Source organism: Homo sapiens, chromosome 6 (assembly GCF_000001405.40).
Source record: "Homo sapiens chromosome 6, GRCh38.p14 Primary Assembly".
Lineage (NCBI taxonomy): Eukaryota > Metazoa > Chordata > Mammalia > Primates > Hominidae > Homo > Homo sapiens.
The window spans coordinates 148919283-148946357 of NC_000006.12; the positions used below are offsets into that span (position 1 = coordinate 148919283).

General features: G+C 39.8%; 1 protein-coding gene across 7 annotated transcripts in view, besides 1 other annotated feature; it reads left to right on the top strand.

Moving 5' to 3' along the window:
• The window catches only part of UST (uronyl 2-sulfotransferase), a 329961-nt gene that overhangs the window by 172253 nt on the left and 130633 nt on the right, over nucleotides 1-27075 (top strand). For all 7 annotated transcript variants that reach the window (XR_001743088.3, XR_007059195.1, NM_005715.3 and 4 more), the window contains exon 3: nucleotides 21997-22152. Coding sequence is in view for 5 of the 7 variants with exons in the window: in NM_005715.3 (NP_005706.1) it covers nucleotides 21997-22152 (156 nt within the window). In the remaining 2 variants the exon portion in view is untranslated. The remainder of the gene's footprint in view (nucleotides 1-21996; nucleotides 22153-27075) is intronic.
• Nucleotides 4662-5280: an enhancer, noted in NCBI's record as "NANOG-H3K27ac-H3K4me1 hESC enhancer chr6:149245080-149245698 (GRCh37/hg19 assembly coordinates)". NCBI's record gives its function as "activates a minimal SCP1, AML or CMV promoter by ChIP-STARR-seq in primed H9 embryonic stem cells {active_cell/tissue: H9 hESC(primed)}" and the evidence as "EXISTENCE:reporter gene assay evidence [ECO:0000049][PMID:30033119]".

The following is a 27075-nucleotide window of genomic DNA, read 5'->3' on the forward strand; positions in this document are numbered from 1 at the left end:
GAGGTCTTGCCAGCTCACAGCTGTAATAGTTCCTGCTCCCACTACCTGCTCCAGCCCAGCCAAAGGAAATGTCAGAGTCAGTTAGAAGCTGGGAGAACCCCTCTATCTCTCCATAGTGTGCTCAGTGTCAGAGCCGTGTGTGTGTGTGTGTGTGTGTGTGTGTACACTTCTGTTGGTAGGGGCTACAAGTAGATGACTATCAACACCTGCTTCTATAGCCACAGTGAATTCCCAGTCCAGCAGGGAAGAAGGTATGTCTTTAAGGTTTTTCTACATAATGAAATAATTATGCTTTCATAATCTTGTCCCACAGGTACCATGGTGGTCATGGCAAAATGCAGAACCCAAAAGTTTTCAAAATAGTTTGTCTTCTGAAAACTGTTATTCAGTGCCAAGTTTGTTCTTGATGTTTTTCTTCTAAATATTTTGTCCTGTTTGATGAAACAAGTAATCTATGGTCATTATTTCTAAAACATATTTCCTTTTTTAATGGCTATGGCACCAGTTAAGCCTTTTAGACTTTCCAGGGTGTTGCCAGGTGGCTTCTGACTACTGTCATCCATTAAAATGGCTTAATTTGAGTTTGAGGACTAGACAGGAAGACACAGGTTTAAAGGCCCATATTTACTAGAATAACATTGTTAAAAGGAAACATTTTAATAAATTAACAGTTTATTTGAGCAAAATATGATTCATGGATCAGGCAGTTTTCAAAATCATAAGAGGTTCAGAGAGAGCTGCACTCTGCATCATGGGCAGTATTTATAGACAGAGTAGAAGGCAGGTACACAAAAAACTTGATTCCTTACAGCTCAGCTTTGCGTTCACTGGATGTGGTCTGATCAGTTGGTAGCCTGTTATTGGCTGAAGCTTAGACCGGCTTGTGATTGGCTGAGACCCAGCTATCTTTACACAAATTAGACTCCCAATTATGTTTCCATTCATTTAAATACATGGTAGATTTTGTTTCATCTTCAGGGTTTTTGATGCTAGCTGTTGACCTTTAGAGGACACATTGTGAGCCTCTTGGTCCTAATTGCTGTACGTTTTGAGACAGATCTTGCTGATGTCTTTGGTTCCAGCCTCGCCCCCACCACTCCATCCTCCACACTGGCCAATGTGGTCTCTCTGGAGGCCCCCTGCTTCACCCTCTTCTGATGCCCTGAGGATGGAGGGGTAGGAGCAAAGTTCTTCCCTCCCTTTTTCCACTCCAACCCTCCTGCCCACCCTCGAGAGGTTTCTTTGTTTGCTTTTATTTGTTTTTGAGACAAGATCTTGCTCTGTCACTCAGGCTGGAATGCGGTGGCCCAATCCTGGCTCACTGCAATCTCAACCTCCTGGGCTCAAGCAATCCTTCCACCTCAGCCTCCTGAGTAGCTGGGACCACAGGTGCATGCCACTATGCCTGGCTAGTTTTTGTTGTGTTTTGTAGAGATGAGATTCCACCATGTTGCCCAGGCTGCTCTCGAACTCCCAGGCTCAACCTACTCACTCGTCTCTACCTCCCAGTGCTTTTGTTTTTTAATAATTCCTTGTGATTTCTTGCCTGCTCTTTTAAAAGCAAGACTGGGACTCTTTAAGAGATGGTGTGTTATTTTTAATAAATCTCTGTACCCTGACCGTGTTCCCATCAGGAGCGTCAGAAGGACAAACAGCAGCTAAGTGAGCCTCTACCAGCGAGTGTTATAGACCCCTTTATAAGCTCTCCTCATTAGGCATTTCTGGCACCTAAAATAGATGGCTGGAGAGGTAATTAGATGCAGTTACTTGCAAAAGTCTCAGAGGCATTTTCTTGATAGTACACAAGAGGAGTCTATTAATTAGTTCTAACAAGGAAGGTTTAAATAACATCAGTTAATGGCCAATTGCTGGTGGCAACCAGGCAGACAGAATCCAGAGTCCCTGGGCTGAGCTTCATCCTTTGCCTGGAAGGGGAAGAGTTCCATGAAGACAGAGCTCCTGCCTGTAGTCTCTCTGGGAAGATTAAATACATACAGATTAAGGAGTTGAGAATAATTTAGTGCCAAGCTCTGTACTAATAATTGTAAGTCCAACAAGTGAACAGGAGAATCGCCCAGAGATGGAGAAGACGTGAGTGTTTGGGTCCAACAGCAATCATAACTTGCTTTTTCCTAAGTGATTTTGTGTGTTGTATAGTATGCTTGTTGTTTGTTGGGTGGTTGTGAAAAAGCATTCCATCCGTATGGGGAGATTAGGCTGGAGCCCCAAAACAAAAACTCTACCTCTCCAGGGACTCTCTGTCTGGCAGCCTATGAGGAACAGGTATTGTGTTAGAATTAATTAAGCATTTCCCTCTCTGGAGCCATCCTTTGGAATGCACACATCCCTGGGAGGAGAGACCCACCAAGCTTTCTGCACTCCAGGTGAACAGCTATAGAGAAACTTCCTCTGAGCAGGATGGACCTGGAGCATCCTTGTGGGTTATGGAAGCACAGGAAGGGGACAGAGGCCCTTCAGCATCCAGTCGCAGTCATGAAGTGCCACTCCCCATGGTCTGGTGCCTCTGGAGCCCCATCTCCCTCCAGTTGGCTGTCCCCACTGCCGCCACCCATGCCCCACTCTTCCACCCTGTGCCCCAGCCATGTGATACATCTCTACCCAGAGCAGGGCTCCAGTCCCCACCCTCTCCTCAAACACCCAGCATCATCAGAGCCAGAATTAGTAAGGAGGACATCGGCCACAGGAAACAACCTCAGATTTAACATGAGAGGGGAGTGGAGAAGAGAGCACTGGAAAGTCTCATGGTGGGGAAGAGAGATAAAATGTACACTATTGTTTTCAAAAATGTAATTCTATTCACATACCAGGAAATTCTCCCTTTTAAAGTGTACAATTCAGTGGTTTTTAGTATATTCACAAAATTTTGCCACCATTACCACTGTCCAATTCAAAGCATTTTTGTCACTCCAAAAAGAAACCCTGTACCTATTGACTGTCACTCCCCACATCCCCCATGACCTCCAACCCCTGACAACCACTAGCATACTGCCTGTCTCTATGATTTTGCCTACAGGATTCTGAGCATTTCATATAAGTGGAATCATACAATATACAATATGTGGCCTTTATGTCTGACTTCTCTTACTCAGCATAATGTTTTCGAGGTCTGTCCATGTAGGAGGTATCAGTTCATTTCTTTCTATGGCAGAATACTATTCCTTATTTGCATAGAGATGATCTTTCTTTTTCTTTTTTTTTTTTTTGAGTCGGAGTCTCGCTCTGTCCCCCAGGCTGGAGTGCAGTGGCACGATCTCAGCTCACTGCAAGCTCCCTCTCGCGGGTTCACACCATTCTCCTGCCTCAGCCTCCTCAGTACCTAGGAGTACCTAGGTACTTTTTTTTTGTATTTTCTATAGAGACAGGGTTTCACTGTGTTAGCCAGGATGGTCTTGATCTCCTGACCTCGTGATCCGCCCGCCTCGGCCTCCCAAATTGCTGGGATTACAGGCATGAGCCACCATACCTGGCCTTCTTTTATTATTATTATTATTTTATTTATTTATTTTTGAGATGGAGTCTCTCTCTGTCACCCAGGCTGGAGTGCAGTGGCACGATCTCGGCTTACTGCAACCTCCACCTCCCAGGTTCAAGCAGTTCTCATGCCTCAACGTCCCAAGTAGCTGGGATTACAGGCATGCCCCATGACACCTGGCTAATTTTTTAATTTTTAGTAGAGATGGAGTTTCACCGTGTTGGCCAGGCTGGTCTCAAACTCTTGGCCTGGCCTCAAGTGATCCACCCATCTCGGCCTCCCAAAGTGCTGAGATTACAGGCATAAGCCTTTTAGTGTCCAGCTGCCTGTACCCAACTCCCACCCTTAAAAAAAATGCTTATGCTTAAAATAGTGACATTGCATGGACATACCATGTTTTAGTTATCTGCTTATCATTTCATGGGCATTTCAGTCGTCTCCACTTTTGGGTTATTATGAATAATGCTTCTACGAATATTTCAATACAAGACTTTGGGGACATATCTTGGGTATACACCTAGGAGTGGAATTTCTGGGTCATATAGTAACTCTATGTTTAGCTTTTTGAGGAGCTGCCAGACTGTTTTCCAAAGTGGATGCACCATTTTACATTCCACCAGCAATGTAGGAGGCTTCCAGTGTCTTTGTATCCTTGCCAACATTTGTCATTGTTCATCTTTTTGATTATAGTCAGCCAGGTGGCTATAAAGTGGTATCTCATTGTGATTACTCCATGTTTTTTAATCAGTGTTTAAAGGGTTAGCATGTTCTGTGTTTCAGGGATATAAGCAAAATGCTAGAGTCTCTTCCTAATTATTTTTAGTTACAGTTTTAAGAATAATAGGCTTTGGCTGGGTGCGGTGGCTCATGCCTGTAATCCCAGCACTTTGGGAGGCCGAGGCGGGTGGATCACAAGGTCAGGAGATCGAGACCATCACCTGACCCAGGATGAGGGATTGGCCAGTAGGGTGTGCTCAGAATTTTAGCCCCTCCCCACTCCTGGGGGCCTTTGTCCAGGGCAGGACTTAGATATACAACTGTACTTGGATTGTAGTTGGTCGCTTGGAAGCCAGATAGGCCGGGGTTCCTGTTTTCAGCTGGGCTGAGGGCTCTGACATTCAACAAAGGATTTAATGCCCCTGGACCTCGGTTTCCTCGTCAGTAAATAATATTGGTGATATTTCCTTCTGATGACTATAGCCCTCTTATGGTATTGTGATGATTCAATGAAATGAGCTTTATAAAGCAGCTGGTCTAAGACCTGACAAATCCAAGTGCTTACTAAACAGTAGTTAATTTTATGTCTTATCCTAAGGGACTTGACACAGGTATTATTTTCTCTAGAAGATGGGTCAGCAAACTATGACCCATAGGCCACATCAGTGTAATATTTTACCTCCCACAAGCTAAGAATTGTTTTGACATTTTTTAAAGGGTTGTAATCAAAACAAAGAATATGTGACCTAAGTTTCCTGATTCTTGCTCTAGGCCCTTCTCTGACAGCCCCTCGTCCCTGCCCTGCTCACCCCCACTTCAGGGCCAGATGTCCCTACTCATTGGTCCCTTATCACCTTGTACTTATCTCTGACATAGCCCTTTTCACAAAGAAATCCCTAGGAGACAATCAGCAGCTTCTCCATCACTGCATCCTCGGGCACACAGTAGGAAGTTAGCAGCTGTGAGTTCAGGGAATGAAAGGGGAGTTGGGGAGAAGAGGACACTGAAGACGGTTTTGCCAGCCACACAGTTTTGCTTAAGTCCTAAGGGGAGAGGAGACTGGCACTTGGCTTTGGCTGTCCTCCTGTGCATTGCATTTGAGCAGAGCAATGCCCTTGTCCCAATTGTATCCCCAGATACGTTAGTGTGGGGGGACACTCTGAATTTCCCCTAGGCCGTCACATGTGGGCTGGACTTCCCAGGAACACATTTCTTGGTAATTCACAACTCCCTTTCGGAGAAGAAACTTGGCCTGTGGGTAACAGACCCCAACCCAATAGCTCTTGGGCCTCTCCTGGAAAGACACAGCTTTCTCTCAGCCAGGCTGCATGAATTCAGGATTTGCATTCTCTTGGTTGGGGCTGGGCTGAGAGAAGGTGGAATGCGTGTTTTTGAGATTCTAAATAAGAAAAGCAGGCGTGACTATGCCTGCTTGATTCTATTACTTTGGGGCATTTTCAAAGAATTTCTTGTCTCCACTTATTTTTCTAATATTCATGTTTATGTTGAATTCCTCATGCAGAAACTGATGCATTGCTTTTACCCCAGAGCTTTCACTGACGTTTGATGGAATTAGCTCTGCAAACACTGCTGACATGATGTGCCCTCCTGTTTTGGTTCCTTCTGTACTAAACATGATTTTTACAATGAACTTGAGCTCTGTGTATGAGAGAAAAAGAAGGAGACTGATTTGTGACCTGACTACTTGCCCCCATAAAAAAGTCCAGAAGAGCCCACCGATTAAAGCATATAAGATGAAGGCAGGACAGCAACGGTCTGAGGGGAGCAGATGTTTAAGGTGCTTCCAGCAATCTGAGTTGAGCGGTTTACAATTCTCAGGCAAAAGCAGGCACAAGCTTTTTCAACAGATAAGGAACACCTTTAAAAAGAAAGGGACGAATGCAGATGAAGGACTTGCAACTCACAATGACTTTTAAACTTTCTACAAAAAAAAAGAAAGAAGAAAAAGAGAAAAAACCTTTAAAGTTTATAGTAGTAGGTTTTTTCCAAAGGTTGCCAATGTGTAGGTTGTTTGCAAACATTGCCCAGTGGAAGAAAGGGGGGAATATTTCCAAGTCACAATTCTACACGTTTAATGTCAAAGCCTACTAAATATTACTCCTCTTGAATCTTCAAAGGAATTGTGTATAAATTCCTGAAAAATAAAATTGCATTTCTGCACTTGGATGCAAGTGACCCTTTGGTCACTCCCCATGATGACTGGATGAACATAGTTTAACCTTGAGAGCAACTCTCACAACTAGGTCAAAAGTTGTTTATTGACCACATAATTTCCAGGTGCAAGATGCTTTGAATTTTTAATGCGCTTACACTAAAATTACACAGGGGCTGAAAGATTGTTTAGCTGGACTTCTGAGCAAATGAGTGTGGTTGTTATTGTTGTTTTAAGTAGACCACATACATTCACAGAAGGGAACTTTACCGTGACCTAGCAGATTACAAAAACTACAGTGAGTTCCTTTGACAGCTTGTGAGTAGAGAAATATATTTATAACAAACATTTCTTCTTCTCCAGCTACCTTTGGCTTCCAACCATAAATATTTTATAAACTACCCCCAGAAATGTTTAATGACAGACTTTTAAAGTAATTGAAGAAAGAAAGCAGCACACTTTATGAGATCCTTTCCACTGACATATTTTGATCATCGATACAGCATTTCGAAGCTAATAGTGCTGTTACTACAATGTCAGTGTACTACAGGATCAAAAGGAATGATATGAGACTTAGAACTCTTTTCACTGTGAGTGCACTTGATTTTGATTTTCTCAGAGGATAATACCTGTAGCCATTTTTAAAAATGAATAAAATTAGCAAAAAATTAAAAAGAGAAAGGCCTATATCAGAAATGCATTGGGCTAACAAACAGAAAACCTGACAAGAGTGACCCACACAAGTGGAGAGCCCTTTTTATTTCATGCATTAAGCAGTCCAGGTCTGGTGTGGTGGCACTGTGATATCACTGGGGTCTACCTCTTATCTTCGTTCTCTGTCTTCATTAGCTTGCAGATCTTGGCTTGTAGCATGGCCCTCATGCTTCTTGCCTCATGGTCACAGGATTGCTTCTGCAACTCTAGGCGTGGTGTCTGTGTTCCAGGGAGGAGAATAGAATGGAAAGTCAAGGCAGAGGACTGAAAAACAATGCCAGAGGAATCTGTCTGTCATTAAAAATTGCCCAAGAGGCCAACTCAGCAGTGTTCATTTATAACTCATTCATTTGTTGAATGAATGGACAGAACTCCATCACTCTATCACTCCCAACTTCAAGTGAGTCTAGGGTGACTATTTTTAGCTGGGCATATTGTTACCTAGAATGAGGTCATGGTTCCTTTAGGAAGAGAGGAAAGTAGATATTAGGTAAGCAACTAGCAGAATCTGCTATAGGGGGTTGTCATTTCAAAATATTCTATATAGTTAGTAATAGGTTTGAAAAAATGTTTTTTTTTCATATTGAAGGTGAGGACTCTATGGGGATGAAAGAAAGCAATTAACAATACAATAATGGGGTATATTTACCTTCTGAATTTAAAATATTCTCTGAAGACATTACTGCTGGAGCATGGTAAGAATTCATCCATCATTCAGTTGTCCTTACGTCCCCGTTATGTATTGAGCTAAGTACAGTTGCAAAGAGAGAGAACAAAACAAAGAGAGAGTGAGAAAGAGAGAGAGAGAGAAAGGGGAGGGAAAGGGGAGGAGGAGGACCAGTGGGAGGGAGGAAGGGGAAAAATCATAGAAATACATTGAAGTCTTGGCCTTCCCATAGCCTTACAGGCTAGTGAGTTCATCAGGTTAGCGTAATTGGTGAAAAAACAATTATATAAACCATCATACCACTAATTGCCATAGTTGAACAAACTTTACTTTGGATTTTCTGGTAGCCAAGAAAAAATGGGGCCATAAATGGTAATGTCGTTCTCATTTTCCATGAGAAGAAAAAATAATACAGTCATTTGTCCTACAGTGTAGTGGATTAGAGAGCTTGAGTACCAGCTCTGGAATAGACTTTGAACAAGTTATTTAATCCCCCTAATTCCCAGCCTTTTCTTCTTTAATATGGGAGCACTAATACTCATGGTTCTGAGGTCATTTTACAAATTAAGTGAGATATTGCGTGAAAGGCACCACCAAATTAAGAGCCCTGGGATGAAAAAAAATGAGAAAGATAGAAGACATTGTGCTCAATGACATCCCCATTCCAAAACAGAACTGGATTGTGAGATGTCCTATCATATGGTGTCACTTGAGAGCTGCCAAGGATATGATGCCAAAATGTCACTCAGTCAAAGCAGCTCTAGATGGGGCCAAGAAGTTATGCTTCAATAGACAGCTTTTTGATGGTCCAACTTGGACCAAGGCTAAAAATTCAAAATGTACAGAGAAATGGATGGAGTCTGTATCCTCAAACAATCTCCCTTACTTTTGACATCTTTCAGCCAGCCCTTTGATAGACATAAGCAGCTCTCCATCCAAGGGTACAGTCCCCAGTGAAGGCCTGGAGGGGAGGTATTTGTGTCACTGGTGGAGGATGAGCTCCTGCACTACAATGACATAGGTTGGACAGTGGCCTTACCCAGACTCTGACCCAAGCAAGTGCTCAACCCATCACTAAGATTTTTTTTTTTTTTCACTCTATTGCCCTAGGGCAACTACAGTCTGAGATCAGCAATAGACTCTTAAAACCTGGGGCTCTTGCCCTCATTTTAAACTTCTGTTTCCTTCATTTGTTTCTTTAACTAAACTCTCCTGATGAGGATTTTCTTATTGCTTAGTCAGGTCCAACTTCTTGACCATTATAGGGGAAGTCAGAAGTTTTATATCCATCCAGTGAGTCTAGCTATAGAGACAATTGTTGCTCTATAAACTGTCTTTCTCTTTTCCTCTTTCTATCAGATCACAAAATCCCAAGAGATGGAAAATATCTGTATCAATTTATAAAAATATTTTTTGAATAATGATTTATTTTATTTAGCACTGTTTGATAGCCTGAATGTAATAACAGTTCCCTATAGGAAATGGGTTCCCCCATCCATCCTGGTGGAGATTTCTGAAAAATCTGTTTACCCAGGACCAGGTAACAGATGAAAGCAAAAACCAGCCAATAGATACTGTGGAAAAGAGCATTCCATGATCAGATCTATGCTGGTGGATTGCGTCTAGATTCCATGCCACATTTGTTCAAAATTAATTCAATTATGAAAAAGGTATACTTGTGAAAAGCCCCCAACATGTAGGCAGTTAAGACATAATTTCATCTGAGAGCAATTTAAATGTCTTATTGCCATCTCTAGCTAAAAATACCTTATGATTTCTGGATTCTTGTGTGGAGTTAATCTCCCAGCTCAAGTTCACCTTGTTGCTAATTCTCTATCTCATTTCAGTGTGGGAAGCAATGTCATTTTATGTAGAAAGGAATGTATTTCATCTCTCCTCTTCTCCAGCTATCAGCAAATCTATGCCTAGGGCAGGGAGCAGCTGTGGGGATATGGATAGGACACAGCCATGGATCCTTCGCACATGTTGAGAATGTCCTTGGTGTTTGCTGCTCTTACTCCCTTTTCTGTAGATGAGGAATGGAGATTTTCATGAACAGGTGTTTGAAGAATCAAGAACAACAGGGCCTTTGAGTGGTGGGGTACAGCAGACCCTACTGGTTACTTACTCCATATCCATTCTCCCACAGCCTCCCCCTCTTTAGCAGAAATCTGACTTGTTCAAGTTTTACCCTAAGAGGAAGGCAGTTCCACCCTAGCTCATGAGTGAGTCCTGATTAATCTAAGCCTAGCATGGTTGTCTTATTTCCTTTGCTCATGGCTAGTTGAGATGTACACTGGAAGTTTAGACCAAACCAATGGAACATGAGAAATTTTCTCAGGGCCTTCTAGGTAGGATTTTCAGATCTTAAAGGAAGCACCCAGGAAAGATAGTCTCTTCTTGCCCCAGACTTTGTAATTCTGCATGGGATGGCTGGAACTGCAGCAGCCATCATGAAACATAAGAAAAGCTAGTCTGAGGACAATGCTGGCATTTCCAGGATGGAAGAGCGAGATGGAACAAAAGTATGGAATGAGGCCTAAAACCTCCATACCTAAGGACTTTTGTAAGAGAATATATTTTCCTATTTATTTACGAGAGAATGTATTCTCTTTATTGTTTGAGTTTCGTTGGGTTTTTGGTTACCTGCAGATACAAGCATCCTCGTATTGATACATGGAGATGTAACATAAAGCAGAGAAGTTCTTTAGCCATGTTTAACCCATTTGTTCTTGAGCTGCAACTCAGTTGTCCTGCTGTGTTGCTATGCTCAGTATGTATGAGGGGAAACACTAGGCCAGAGAGTTGATGAATTTTGTATGGTGTGTTTTCCTTGCATATCATACGTGCAACACACAGACACACACACGATGTGAAAAATGCCAAGAAGCCAATTCCACATAGCCAAATCAAACATGGGAGGGAGGCTAGAAAGTTTCTTATTAATGCAAATCAATAAGAATTGGGTAGGTGTACTTTGCAAAGGGAAAATGGCTATCCCTTTGAAGCCATACAATTTCTAGAGATACCAAGACTCCGTTCAAATGCCGTGTTCTCTGTGACCCCTTCCCTGAGTTCTCAAGGCCAAGTTGATCACCCCTTCCGTTCTCATACCACTGTATGCATATCTCTAGTGGGGCGCTTACCACATGGTATCAGCGCAAGCAGTGTCAGCGTTCAATTCCCTTGTTAGATTGTGAGTTCTTACAGGGCAAGAGACTTGTTGTAACCTTTGATGTATTCACTTATTCAACAATTATTTATTGAGTGCCTACTATGTGCCAGGCATTGAGCTGAACACTGAAGATACAATAGTCAGAAAAAGCAGATGTGGCCCCTGCAGTCATGGAGTTTAAAATCTAGTGAGACAGGCAATCAAATAATTACAGCAGTCAACCAATTTCTTATGCCTAACCAAATGACTAGCACGCAGTAAATGCTCAATAATTACTTGCTGAATTTAGTCACAGAATTTTCAATATTCTGTGCCACCTTTTATCTTCCTGGAAGCTAGCCTAAGTTCATACGATGGTGGAAAACCTCCTAGGGGAAAGAGAGGTGAAGCCCCCACATGCAGGCTGTTTTCAAGCATCTGTTTGTATTGCACTTACTAATGTCTTAATGGCCAAAGCAAGTCATGTGGCCAGTCTAGAGGGCCGTGTGGAAGGAAGTTACACGGTGCAGGGATAGGAAGAGGTGTGACTGGTCAGGGGCCATTATCGTACCAATCTGCCACACTATTTTAAATTATGGGTTATGTTATATAAGCCTAAAACTCAGCTAAGAGATTTAAACAATGATCATTTGAATCTAAGAATAAGTTTCTCAGTACAATTCACACTCAAGAAACTAACATTTGATTCAGACATTTCAAATGGAAAATAATGATGTGATTCACAGTGAACAGTATATCCAAGCTTTTGGTCTTAAAATCTTTGCACAGTGCTTTGATGAGAGAGGAGTCTTGGCAGCCAAGTGTGGCTGTTTCCCCAGCCTTTATACTATTTTCAGTGAGGGCAGTCTCTTCTTCTGAGGGTTGTAATGAGAATAATGGACTCTTTCCCCACTAACATCCAGAGAAGATCATTCTAAATCGAGTGGTTGGCCCATGCCAACAATATCTGCTATAAATTATGAAACCTCCAATCAATAATCAATACTTCTCCTCTATTTGTATAATAGCAAATGAGTTTTGAGGTTGGACTCAGAGTATAAATTGTTAACTAAAACAAAATAGGATAAATATAGAGAAATGAAACTTAGCTTTAGAGCAGACTCTTAAACCTTAGAAGTCTGTATAAACAAAAGTGTCTATGCATGTTTTATTTGGAGATTTGTGTGATTAAACAAAAATGTATTACAGATCTGAATGGAGAGTCAAATTAAGTGTGTGGGTCTAGTGGAGAGATTATCTATCCAAACGCATTTTTGTAATTCCGTACTCTGGTCCAAAAGTTAATGTAAAAAGCCAATCGAATTGATTAATACTAAAAATGGAACAACTGCAAACTAGAACTAATTTGAGAACCCTCCTACTTTCATCCTCAGAGTTTGTCTAATAAGGACTTTTGGACGACTGAATACATAGCATGTAAGAAAGTGTTAGAAATGGCTACAAGTCTGATGTGACTGCAACAATATTACTCATAATGTTTTTGAGCACAACAAAAACATACAGGGTACATCCACATGCATAACAGATGTTCACGGGAAGATGAGGTTAAACAGGACTTCCACATCCACGTGGGTTTCTCCACTTAATTTTGATCATAAAAGCCATAGAGAAGTTGAAAGGCCTCTTAGAAGAGTGGACAGAAGCCGCCAAGCACAAGTGCAGTAGGGCTACCTTGTGTATGCAAAAGGAAGACAAGTCCCACTTGGAAATATGCCTTCAGGAAGGTTTAGCCTCGCAAACTTGCACTCTCCCATTGTGCTTACATTTCATGTGTGTGGCATGTGGATTTCATTTCTCTTTCTGTCAAACATACAAGTATTCCATGGATTCCTATGGACCCAACTGCAGTTTGAATTTTAGAAACTGTAACATTTTTGGCCGAGCGCGGTGCCTCATGCCTGTAATCCCAGCGCTTTCAGAAGCCGAGGCAGGTGAATCACTTGAGGCCAGGAGTTCGAGACCAGCCTGGCCAACAGGGTGAAATCCTGTCTGTAATAAAAATACAAAAATTAGCCAGGCATGATGCTGTGTGCCTGTAATCCTAGCTGTTCAGGAGGCTGAGGAATGAGAATCACTGGAGGCTGAGAAGCAGAGGTAGCAATGAACCAAGATTGTGCTCCTGCACTCCAGCCTGGGCAACAGAGCAAGACCTCGTCTCAAAAAAAAGGAAACTGTAACATTCTGTGGTAATGAGATACCCAGTTTATGGCTGCTTTTTGCCTATTATTTGTGTACTGACCACAGAAGCTTAAAGGGTACTGTGGCATTAAAAGTGAATCTCTTTGTTCCTCATATGTATATTTTTTTCATATTTGTTAATTTGAAATTTGAAAATATTCATCTTTTGGTCTATGGCATTGATAGCATTCACCAGTGTCACCTGAAATTTGAGTTCCTGCTCAAACTGGAAGTCTTGTATTTTTTTCCTGAAGCACTCTTCAAGGATCCAACTATGGTAGCTTAATCATTACATCTAGAAAATGACTTATGGCTCCTTGTGAAAATTGCTTCTTTGTATGAAAATTCTGGTACAGCATGCAGGCTATTGTGTTCTGGGAATAGCATAGTGATGATGTGCGTTATGGAGATAACAGGACATTAGGTATACAGAATGGAATTAATATTTAGAAGTGCAGGATGCCACTCAGATAACCCTGTGGTCATCCCTAAGTATTGTGTAGCCCTCGGTTAACATATGGCACATGGACAGGGAGGAGCCTTGGGAATCATTAGGTTCAGTGCCCTCATTCTATACTTTGAGGAAACTTTGACTTAGAGAAGTTGTTCAGGATCATTTGCTCATGTCACTCAACTACTTAGAGTGATAAAGCCAAGGGGAATGCCAGAGTTTCATAACTTTCAGTCCAGGGAACCTTCGACTTCAACATACTTTTTCTTCTGTAACGTAGCAAATCAGGGGTTTCAAAATATTATGAATGTTAAGAAAAAATTGGTAGATTTTCTTATAGTTTTAAGAGATAACTGAAAGAGCATCCTTTATAATAATAAATATGACAGCATTGGTTCTACAGCACTTACTATAATCGTATTTTCATCCCAATAGTCTAGTCTATACTCTTTATTAATTATCCACTATATACATAACAGATAGATTATTTTTATTAATTATCCACTATGCACATAACAGATAGACCCAGATGGACTTGTAAATGATCTATGGCTATATTTATTTTTCTGTAGGTAGCATTACACATGGAATTGTTTCAAGTGGGAACAGGGGAAGAGAAGAAAGCCAAAGGTTCAGATTTGGCATAGCTCTTGGAGAAGATGGGCTTGAATAATGAGAAGCACGCAGGATGTCATTTGAGAGTTGTGGATGGAAAGAGCCTTCTGTTCAGGAGGATTGCAATGAGGGGAAATAGAATTCTGAGATCGGTTCTGTGTATTTCCTCCCCTAGAATGGAGGAAAGGAGACTGGGAGCAGAAGAGATGATGGTAATTAGAAAACAGATGTGTGTGGCTCAGATGGTTTGATGGGCAAAGGCCAGTGAGAATCACTGCCGAGTTCTGGGAGGCTTTGGCGATGATCTCAAAATGGGAAGCTTGAAATGATTAAAACTGTGGAAAGGAAGAGAAAGATAAAAGGAAGATAAAGGTAGATTTATTATGGGACAAGCCCAAACAAGAATAGGACAGCCAAGGTGTCCAAAATAAAACTGGGAACGCCTATGGAGTTGGAACCCATGTCATCAGCACAAATTACTGGAACTTTGTTTTTTCTGTTTCTTTAATGAATATATTCCACAAACAAGGAAACACGGTAAAATCTAGTTTTAACTTTTAAGGCGTTTTCCAGATTATATCTTGGTAGCAATATGGACTGAAATTAATTTAATAGCTTCAGAAGAAAATATCATTTATTGGGTTATAACCTAACTTTCCCCTTTTTATAAGTGAGGAAACTGGGGCTCAAGGGTGTGAAGTGACTGGCTTCTAGCACCACAGTGTCCTAGGAACTTTAACATGAGGATTTGCTGAGTGGATTTAAACTGCTCACAGTCCTATGGACAGTGAGGAACAGAATTGTCCCTGAATTCAGGCCTTGCACAGCCCTGGCTGTGACTCTTTCAAGTGTTAGTTTGATTAACCATGAAATGGAGTTGCTGAAAAATCATGAACTGCAGTTTTATTCGTCAAGCAAAGTCATTTCACAGTCAGTATAATATTCATGCTAAGGGTCTAATGCTTTAACAACATTCAGTATAAATTTCAGTTAACCTACACATTCAGTTAACCAGCACACCTGTTCTCTAACTAGCCTGGGAGAGTGTGAGCATACTTATGAGGTTAATTATGACTGGTAAATGTGAGTGGAGCTCATCAACACACAATGAGACCCCAGGAAGACACAACAGTGCCCTTCGCCCCAACTCCTCTCCAGGATCACGCAGGCAACCTTCTCCCCAGCCTTAATCCCTCAGAAGGCTTCAAGGACCCACTCAGCCACTTAATACAGAAAGCTGGGAGTCCTCTGTGACAGCACTTCCTCAAAGCTGATGGAGTTGGCAGAGGGCCCTGGTGAGCTTTTTAGAGAGAGACTCCTGACTCTCATCCTAGACTGTGATTCAGTTCGTCTTAGAGTGTGGCCCAGAAATCTGCATTTTTAAAAGTTCTGTGAGGAATTTGAATATACAGTTATTTGCGAACCACAGCTTGTACTATATTAAGTATCATTTTGCAGAGAATTAAAAGCAGCACTGATGTTAATTCTTCCAACATTACCAATCCCCAGAAGAGCTCTATAGACTCTGGGTCTCATAGACTATGAAAGTCTTGGTCCAGACCACATTTACTTTTTACCTAGAAAGCCTTCCTTCTCTTCTCCCCATTTCAAACCAGGGCTAAGCTATTGAACTTGTGGATGTCATCTGGTGGTGGTTCCTGTCGTGCTCAGGATCTTGGAAAGATTTCTGTTTATCTGGCACGCTCCACACAGGCCTGTCAGGCTCTGGGGATTTGTGGCATTTGCAGAACTTACAAGGCAGGCAGCATAAAAATATATAATTCATAGAATGAAAGATTTTGGAGGCCCCTTCACTTTTACAAATTGGCCATAAAATAGAAATCACAGACATAACATTCATATAACCGCAGTTGCCAAGAATGAAGAATCACTTGGGGGAGGGAGAGGGTGCTTGAGGAGTTTCATGTGTACTTCTCTATAGGGCACCTAAAGAAAGAGTGAGCATTCAAACTCTCTGTGCAAATGATAATAGGAACATTAAAGTAGAGGATAGAGTTCTCGGCCTGACAATTGCAAGTATCTGTTAAGGATAATGAAGATTTCGAGATTGATCCTAAGAGGTCTTTAAAAGTCTTTTCACAGTGATTGAGTTTATCATTTGAGGGCATTTGCTTGTCCTGATAGACATTCCAAATATACTTAGGATTTTGTATACATTTTACTATAACTTACTGCTTCTTGGTTTTTTCCTTTCCCAGTGGAAGCAGTTGACAATATTTGAGGCAGCTGTCTACTTTGACCGCCTGTGATATATCAGGGGAAGGAGGGAAGGGAAAAGTATACATCCTGCCACCTTCTTCTCCAATTAGCTGCGTTGACACTCTGGGCTTCCATTAGCTTTCTAGAAAGAGTCCTTAGGAAGGAGAGAGAGGCTAATCTGCTCCTGTCAGTTCCACTTAAGCCTTCTGGGGACTTGAGTCATGGCTGAGTAATGGCTGATGATACTGGTTGTGATCGCCGACTGTTGAAAAACAGTGTATTCAATGAGGTTGGATACATGCAAGACATAAAAAAGGAAAGAGGATCTCTGTCACAGAAGTCAAACTAAAAATTCTCTTCACTATTTGATTTGTATATTAAAGAAGTGTCATCTTAGGAGTCAGGAGAGCCGAGAGCTGGGCTTTCGTGGTTATGTGTCACTCTAGCTTTGTGACCTTGAAGATGCCAAATGATATTTCTGGGCTTCAGTTTACTCATGTAAAAATAGTTGTAATATCTACATAGTGTAAAGGAAAATTTCATCCAAATCAAACACAGATTGGGCTGGAGATGGGGGTGATAGAGGGTGATAGTTGTGGCTAGGGGGTGTTGAATGGATGAATTATTCTAAATTGCTTCTGGACCTCAAACTCCATTATGTTAGGAATCTGTGATCCACGGGGAGTATGGGGGGCACACAGAGGGAGTTACTTGGATGCTACTAATGATACTTAAGCCATTTGATAATTTACACTCTTAGAGAAATGCACAGCCAGAGTAAAAGACAGTTATGCTGTTTCATTCTGTATTGTTAAACAAGGATGAAAAGGGTTTACATGTCACAGAACCTAGGACAGGGTCAGTCCCTCCCTCCTTAAAAATCAGTCCTTTTTTTTTTTTTTTTTTTTTTTTTTTTGCCATCTTTCCAGAAAGTGCATTTCAAATAAAAGGTGATGAACATTTTTAAAGCAGACCTTCAGAAACAAATCTATCTTATTTTCTTTTTGTTTATTTATTTTTATTTTTTTGAGACTAAGTATCACTCTGTCACCCAGGCTGAAGTGCAATGGCGCGATCTCAGCTCACTGCAATCTCTGCCTCTCGGCTTCAAGCGATTCTCCTGCCTCAGCCTCCTGAGTAGCTGGGACTACAGGCACCTGCCACCACTCCTAGCTAATTTTGTATTTTTAGTAGAGACAGTGTTTCACCGTGTTGGCCAGGCTGGTCTCGAACTCCTGACCTCAGGTGATCCACCCACCTCAGCCTCCCAAAGTGGTGGGATTACAGGTATGAGCCACCATGCCTGGCCATCAGAAACAAATCTATAGTTCTACCAGGAACAGGAGGAATCTGCTTCTTGTTAACACTGTATCCAACATCTACACATTGATTTAGCTGCTTAATTCGGCAAGTTTCAATGCATTACATAGGTTCTTTTAGAAAATGATTAAAAACCCCACCCTAAATTTCAGACAGGTTTACTTACGTTTGTGGTAGTGCATTAGGTGTCTTTAAAACTCACAAGGCTGATTCCAGAAATTTTAGTGAAAACACATTTCCTGCTTTTATGTTCATATCATGTAGGTGTGTATTGGTATTTAGAGAAATGATAGAAGTACCGTCACTGTGAGGATGTTAAGCCCTCCTTTATCTCAAGTTATTATCGTAGACCCAGCTGCAGAAATGACACAGGATGTTTTGTTCTTATAGACGCGTTCTTTTTAAATAACAAACTTTCAAACTATTAGTTGGAAGCTTGCCACAAACTAATAAAACAATTAGAATTAACATCTTTTAAAAAATGAATTACCCAATAGCCTAAAGGTAAATAACATCTTTGGTTATTAGTAAAAAGAATCAGATAGATACTAAGCCTGCTACTGTGCTGATTACCCAAACAATTCAGGAGAAATTAAGTGATTTCACCTAAGTTTTCTAGGTAAGTGCCTCAGTTATTCACTTAAACTGTCCAAGAGGCACCTGTACTCTTGTAATAAAGTACTTACCTATGTGGTAACTCCCATCTTCTAGGTCATTAATTCAGATGTAACACATTCTTCCTTGCTATTCCGTAATGTGCTATGAGACGGGAAAAAATGCACCTATCCCAATTGTTGGACAGTTTGTTTCTATGGAGGAATTAAACTCTGAGTTTATGTTGGCAGCTCTGTCGTAGCCATAATTTCATACCCCAGCCTGGTTGTAATGGAAACTCCAACTTATAAATGCTATTTGTACCATTAAACTAAACATGAAACCTAATTCAACCTTCCTGATCATAACCTTGTAGCCAAGAATGTAATTTATTTTTCTGAATATCTGGACTTCTGTAATTGTTGCCAATGAACAGGCTTTTGAAGTACTCACTGATTAAACCATAAGTAACAATGACCTATTAAAATGACCATCTTTTTATTTTCTCTGATGACTTCAAATAGCATTTGGTCAGATAAAGCAGCTGTATTTGAAGATTCTCTTGGTTTCACATTTTAGTGAAATTGTTGTGTTAATTAGTGTTAAGCAGCACATTAAATTCCTCAGAGCAGTTAGGGCTCATTCAGTGTCTGTTTAGGCTCTTTATGTACAAAGCACATTCTAGGCACTGTGAGGACACATAGTAGACTGGCCCTCAAGAAACAAGGTATTACTCATAAGAAAAAAATACATAATGGAAAAATTGCACCAAAATGGCATGTGACTGGTTGTTAAGTGAATGATATAGATATTATATTTTATTCCAGTGACAACTAGCCTTTAAGCTTCAAATTTATTAAATGCTACCCTGCATACAAATATTTCAGGAAAATTAAATTAACCTATAATTGCAAAGGCAAAAATTCAAATGACCTACCATAATATATTTATGTTTGCAGTGTATTTATGATTTTCTACTGTGCTTTATTATTTAGTTTTGAGCTTTTTAAAATGACCTTCTGTTATGAGTATGTGCTGAATGAAGGAATCCTTTGATTATTGTCAGTTGTTGATCAATGCTGAGCATTCAAAATGGAGAAATATCTTTATTGCAGATAAAAATGATTAATCATAGATGCTTTTCATAATAGCTATGAAAAATATATAATAAAGTAGATAATAGTATAAATAGTATATAATATTATATCAAAATAGATAAACAGTAGTATATCAAGATAAGAAGTAGATAATAGTATATAAAAATCATTGTCCACTAGGCAATTAGAAAGGAAAAAGAAAGGAAAGACATTCATATTGGAAAGGAAGAAGTAAAACTTCTCTGTTTGCACATAGCATGATCTTATTATAGAAAATCCTAAAGAATCCACACAAAAAAACTATTGGAATTAATAAATGAGTTCAGCAAGATTGTGGAATATAAGATCAATATAGAAAAATCAATCGTATTTTTACCAATCAGTCCAAAATGAAACTAAGAGAAGAATTCTATTTATAATGACATCAAAAAGAATAAATTCAACAACAGCAGTATAAGGCATGAGCAATGAAAACAACAAAACATCAAAGAAACGAATTAAAGGAGAACTAAATAAATAGGAAGACATCCATGTTCATGGATTGGAAGACAATATTGTTAAGGTGGCTGTCGTAATCAAATTTATCTACAGATTCAATGCAGTCCTTATCATAATCTCAACTACTTTTTTGGGCAGATATTAGCAAGCTGACCCTAAAGTTCACATGGAAATGCAAAGGACACAGAGTAGCCAAAAACAATCTTGAAAAGGAAGAACAAAGTTGGAGGGACTTACCCTTCCCTTCCCAATTTAAAAACTTAGAACAAAGCTATAATAAGACTGTGTGGTACTGACATGAGTATAAACATATAGATTAAGGGAATAGAATTGAGAATCCAGAAATAATAATGACCCCAAATACACTTATGGTTAGTGAATTTTTGACAAGGGTACTAAACAGCTAAGTGGGGAAAGAATAGAAAGAGGAGTCTTTTCAACAAATGGTGCTGTGACAATTGGATATTTGCATGCAGAAGAATGAAGTTAGACAACTAACTCACACCACACACAAAAGTAACTTAAAATGGATCAAATACCTAAATGTTAGAAATAAAGCTATAAAACTCTCAGGAGGAAACATAAATGTATATCTTTACGATCTTAGATTAGGCAATAGTTTCTTAGATATGACACCAAAACCAAAACAACCAGAGAAAATTTAGATAAATTGGACTCAGTCAAAATGAAAAACTTCTGTGCTTCAAAGGACACCATAAAGAAAATGAAAAGACAACTTACAGGATGGGAGAAAATATTTGTAGATTATGTATTTGCAAATCCAGAATATATATATGGAACTCTTAAAATGCAATAATAAAAAGACAATTTGTAAATGGATGATGGATTTGAATAGACATTTCTCCAAAGAAAATATACAAATGGCCAATAAGCACATGAAAAAATGCTCAACATCATTAGTCACAGGGAAATGCAAATCGAAATCACAACGAGATACCACTTCACAGCAACGAGGATGGGTATAATAAACAACCAAAAAGACAGTAACAGGTCAGGCATGGTGGCTCATGCCTGTAATCCCAGCACTTTGGGAGGCCGAGGCCAGCAGATTGCTTGAGCTCAGGAGTTTGAGACCAGCTTGGGCAACATGGTGAAACCCTGTCTCTACCAAAAAAAAAAAAAATTACAAAAATTAGCCAGTCGTGGTGTGTGCCTGTAGTCCCAGCTACTCGGGAAGCTAAGGTGGGAGGATCGCATGAGCCCGGGAGACGGAGGTTGGTGAGCCCAGGATCATGCCACTGCACTCCAGCCTGGGCAGAAGAGTGAGACCCTGTCTAAAAAAATAAAAAAATACATATATATCAATAACAAGTGTTGGCAAGGATGTGCAGAAATTGGAACCCTCATATGTTGTTGGTAGGAATATAAAATAGTATAGCTGTATTGAAAATGGTTTAGCAGTCCTTCAAAAAATTAAACCTACGGTTACCATATGATCCAGCAATTCCACTCCACTCCTGACCTGTTACTGTCTTCTTGGTTGTTTATTATACCCATCCTCATGGCTGTGAAGTGGTATCTCATTGCGATTTTGATTTGCATTTCCCTGTGACTAATGATGTTGAGCATTTTTTCATGTGCTTGTTGGCCATTTGTATATTTTCTTTGGAGAAATATCTATTCAAATCCATCATCCATTTACAAATTGTCTTTCTATTATTGCATTTTAAGAGTTCTGGAATTCCACTCCACTTCTTGATCACTCTGTAAATTAAGTTGTTCTGATAAAGCATAATAGCAAAAAATATTGTCATTAAGGAACATATTTATGTATTTTGTTTTTAAAAAGAAACAAAACAAGTTTGATAATCAATCTTAGAGACTGCCTGAAATTTCATCAGTGCAGAGAGTTAAGAAGACCAACATTTCTCTTGTTATATCATGAAGATAAATATAGTTTATCACTTCTGATGAACTGATATACATCCTTTTTATTAATCTGATTATAGGCCTTTTTCACTCAGATTTATTATATGAAACAGTTATTGTTCTGAAATTGAGGGAAGAATCCTAAGTATTTCCATACAGACGTTTCATGTTTGTTCTCTTGGTTTTTTTCCCAGGTACTACCTTTCCCAAGCCAGGTGGTGTACAACAGGGTAGGCAAGTGTGGGAGCCGTACTGTGGTCTTGCTTCTGAGAATCTTGTCGGAGAAGCACGGATTTAATTTGGTCACATCAGACATTCACAACAAAACCAGGCTTACTAAAAATGAACAAGTAAGTTGACTTTGCACATTGTTAAATTGTGTTTTGCTTCAGCTCATTTGTGTAACTAGTGGGTGCCTTACAGGTCATCCTTCAGACTCCTGATGAGTGAATACCAGAGTTTTGATTTCATGCTGTATTTTTGCCAGAGTGTGGAAGGAAATTTAAGTTAAGGGTTCCATAAGAACTCTATAAACCAGGGAATATCCATGAAGGGATACTTCCATTAGGACTGATGAAGGACTGTATGTACTTGCCCTTGTCTAGTTAGCTAAAATTAGCGATATATACATCTCAAAGAGTCATACCACCGAGCTATAAATAATGCTGACATCTTCACCATCAAAATGAGAAGATTTTATTTTAATATTCTTCCCTCTTCATTTTCTCACCAATGTCCAGGATCTTTATGGTTGTATTGGTTGATGGGGGACATGAGCTTCCTGCTATGGGAAACTCAGAGGATCTTAGGCTTTGAGAGCAGCATTTGGAATGTTCAGTGGTAGGAAAAGAATGACCCCACTTCACAGGAACAATTTTGCCCTAGTGTAGCTGAGCTGTACAAGTGGACGTGCTGATGGTAGGATGGGAGTGCTGTCCTCTACCAAGAAGCTATGAAGGTTTACTTTGCAAACCTGTATAGAGGTAAGGGCAACAGTCTCTGTGGGGGTGCTTTGCTAATGTAGAAAAGTCAGATAGAGTGTTCTCATGGTCATTTTACAGAGTTGGGTTTGTCATCCTGGTCTCAGAAACTGGCTTCTGTCCCCTTACATACATAGGATGAGCAGCCACCCAATGAGTGGTACCTGCATGTTGGGAAGAAACAAGGAACATGGCTCACTATCAGGTTGAGATCATCATTATAAAAATTTCCTCATGCCTGTAATCCCAGCACTTTGGGAGCCTGAGGATCGAGATCAAGGCCAGGATTGAGACTATCCTGGCCAACATGGTGAAACTGCGTCTCTACTAAAAATACAAAAAAATTAGCTGGGCATGGTGGCACGTGCCTGTAGTCCCAGCTATTCGGGAGGCGGAGGCAGGAGAATCACTTGAACCCAGAAGGCAGAGGTTGCAGTGAGTCAAGATTGCACCACTGCACTCCAGCCTGGAGACAGAGCGAGACTTTGTCTCAATAAATAAATAATAAATAAGTAAATAAAAAAATAAATAAATAAATTTCCATCCATGTCCATTTTCTTTGGACATAATCTCCAGCTTTGAAACATTCAGAACCTCACAAACAGAGGGAATCTCATTCTTAATTTACCAATTGCGTATTTCCATTTTATCTTGGGGGAAAGTAGAACTGTTTTAAGACAGTAACATAGCCAACCATACTTGTTCTAAAGCCACTATGTTTTGTGTCTTTTATAATACAGAGATCAAATTGCCCACTCCTTTGCAAACTTCCATTAAAAAATCACTCAGTATCAAGTTTAAATAGCCATTACCAGCACGAATAGTTAAAGAATCATTACCAATCAGCAAAAAATATTTTAAGGTTATACCTTGTAGGTTCCATATTAGGGTCTCCAAAGAAAAGAATGATCTTTGGTGGCATTTAAGGATATTGCATTTTATGTATAAGATTGTACATACAGTAGGGGCAGGTTCTCTTTGATTACCTTACTTGATTGAAGAGCTAATGTGATTAGGCTGGTGATGCCTTTTTAACTGCCTGAAAGAAAGGAATTATAAATAAATACATTATTGCAATTTTATTATAATTATTAAATTTGGTGTTCTTTTGAATCTAACTCTTATGGCCTGCTTATCTATGGGATTACACTTAAATATAATATCATCATACTCAGTTCCCAGATGCCTCATAAAACACAGTTGCTAGATTTTAGTTCCCACTGCAGGAGAGACAACAAACTACCTGCAGAGAGCAGGACAAAAGTAACTCAAGGATTAGACATTGGGATGTTCAGGAATTGTTAGAAGAAAGAACACAAAGTACAGTATTTAAATGTGCCTTGGGATTTTATAGAGATCAACCTAGTTTGTTTCCTATGAGGAGCAAACATGAAAAAGTAAAATACACTTGTAACTATGAATGGAATAATTTAGAATAAAAATTAACAGCAATTTACTAACCATGTATAGATTGTTAGATCCAGAAAGGGTTAAAGACAAAGTCTTCCTTCTCTTCTAAAATATAGGCTAGCTCTCATCTGTTTGGAATGGTTGGCTTGTCTGGAAGCCAGAGAAGAGACTAGACAGTCTTTTAAGATTCTTTCCAGCCCTGTGATTCTGTGATATATTTGTACAACTTCTAGCATAATCTGTGTATTGTGTAGTTGAAACATTTCTGATTCCTGTGGTCAAAGTGACCTAGAATATATTTCATAACTTCATTATTCCAGATTTCTATTAAATTGTAAGGCAGTTTTAAAAACGCATGGCAAAGGTAAAGATAAGGTAGAAAAAACAAATATATAATTTTAATGTGAAAACAAACATAATAACAGTAACTATTACCTCTCCGCAGCCATCTGGCTCTGGCATGCAGAGAGAGAAGCCAGGAAATAAAAGGACAAGAAACCCAGTTTGAAGTTCAACAACATTTAGAGAAACACTTTTTTTGTCCTTGTATTGCTTTTATTAAAGTTTCAACGTGCATAAACAGAAAAAATATTATTTTAATATATATTCAAGAAATAATTTGTGGTATGAATAGCTCCTTTTTTGGTAATTTATTAGAGGAATGAAGGGGGAAATGGTTTAGAAGACTAGTGGAAATTGTAGTCAGTTGTTCTCACCTATAAATGGTAGAATTCTGAAAATTTGTTCCCATAGAATCATTGTCCTCTAGAGTTAATAACAATTCCACTTCAGGTGCAGTATGACTTAAACAGGCTCTTGTGGGCTGGCCTGGGACTTTATCCACCGTGTAGAGAATTTCTTTTATGAGAAAATGTGCTCCAAGTTTCAAACTACTGACTTACAAATGAACTTTGGAATATTATCCATTTCTAAGACCAGATTATCTATTCCATTTCATTCATACAAAAAGGCACCTCTCTGGGCCACAGTCAAATTCACACATGCATTGCTCTCTGGAGGGTAGTTGTGATCATACACACACACACACACACACACACACACACACACACACAGAGCTAAATTTTTTAAATCTATTAAATGGAACAAGACACTGAAGGGATTATTAAAAAGGAAAGGGAGTGTGAAGACACCAAATGTTAGAATGCCTATAAAAATCCCACTACATCTGTCCTTATAAAAATAGAAATACCTTTGAAGTTCATATTTTGGGAAATATCACCTCAACAGCAGAGCATGGGCAATGGCTGCTGGGCAAGTGTTGGACTTTCGCACAGCTCATCATGCAAACCTGTGATGACATCATTGCATTTATGCCCTAAAACTAGATTTCAGGTCTTAAGCTGGCTTAAATTATCTCTTGAAAAATGGAGATTATATACAGCTTTGAAAAATAGGGAATTTTTTTCCCCAGAAGACATGGCATGTGATTGCCAAAAAAACACATAACCATCTTTGGTTAAGAGGTGACACCATCTTTCTGAGCATTGCTCTAAATACAAGAAAGGTCAGAGTGCTGCAGGTGTATTACAACTATGAGAATCCATAATTACTTTCATTCTCTTTAAAGAAAAGCAAAAGTTACCAGCATATTGAGAAGGCACATAATTTTACTATTTCTATTTCTGTTGAAACTGAGGATTACGTGTTGGATACAGCACCTACAACCTGCATTGTTTTTCTTCATTGTTTCATTGAACTTTTTGGACCTAAAAATATACTACTGAGTGGGTATGATTCCCTGTTTTATGGGTGAGACACCTAAGACAATCAGATTGTAACTTTCCAAATACATTGTAATGACTATCAGTGGCTCTTGGCCTTGAACCTAGGCCTTCCTTAATCCAAAAGCCATTCTCATCATGCAGTGTTTATCTCCTCTAGCTGGATAGCAGAATCTCAGCAGAGCCTTTTAAAACCTAGAGTTGCAGTGGCCCTTCTCCTGGAGATTCTGGGGTAGAGCCCAGAAAACTTTTTCTTTAATGAAGTGTCACAAGAGATTTTATGATGCAGCCAGGGTTAAGAAGCTCTGTCGAAATCATCATACCAGCATTGCCCTAGGTATGTTCCTGAGAATCCTAGTCCTCTAAGACATTGAAAGAAAAAAAATATTATGGTTCAATAAATTTGGTAAATGTTGCGTGCCTTGTCCCGAATGAATCAATTCACGATGATTATTCGCATTTTGAAGACTTCGAAAATTAAAAACAAAACTGCAAACAAACTGTTTGACTGGATTTCACCTAGCGTTTTTGCAGTCTTCATTGTTCAGGGGAGTCTTAATGAGTGTTTGTGACTCATTTGCATTCTGCAGAACTCCAGTTCATTGTCTGTGAAATACTAGGCAAGTCCACATCCTCCCACCAGTTGTAACAGTAAAGGCTACTATATCACTATAAACGTAACATCTGTTCTGACCCTCCAACAGCTATTCAAATTATTAAAACCTTGAAGAGTTATATAAAGGGTGGAGGAGAGAGAGATCCTATGCCCATGTGCCCTAGATAGCTTTAGCTTCCTTATCAAAACACTATTTCCTTACAATATTTTAAATTTCCCTCTCCTGTTGCTCTTGCCCCCTGCAAGTTTCAAGTCTGAATGGTGGCTAGAAAGCAGTGAGACTTAGGGGGAAAAAACCCAACTCACCTAAAAAAATCATGTTAAGTTTGTAAAAGTCTACAGGCTACAGGGATCCCTAAGGCATGGTTAATCGGGCCTCTGTTTAATCAAGAAGGTGGGCCAGGCATGGTGGCTCACGCCTGTAATCCCAGCACTCTGGGAGGCCGAGGCGGTGGATCACCTGAGGTCAGGAGTTCGAGACCAGCCTGGCCAACATGGTGAAACCCTGTCTCTACTAAAAACACA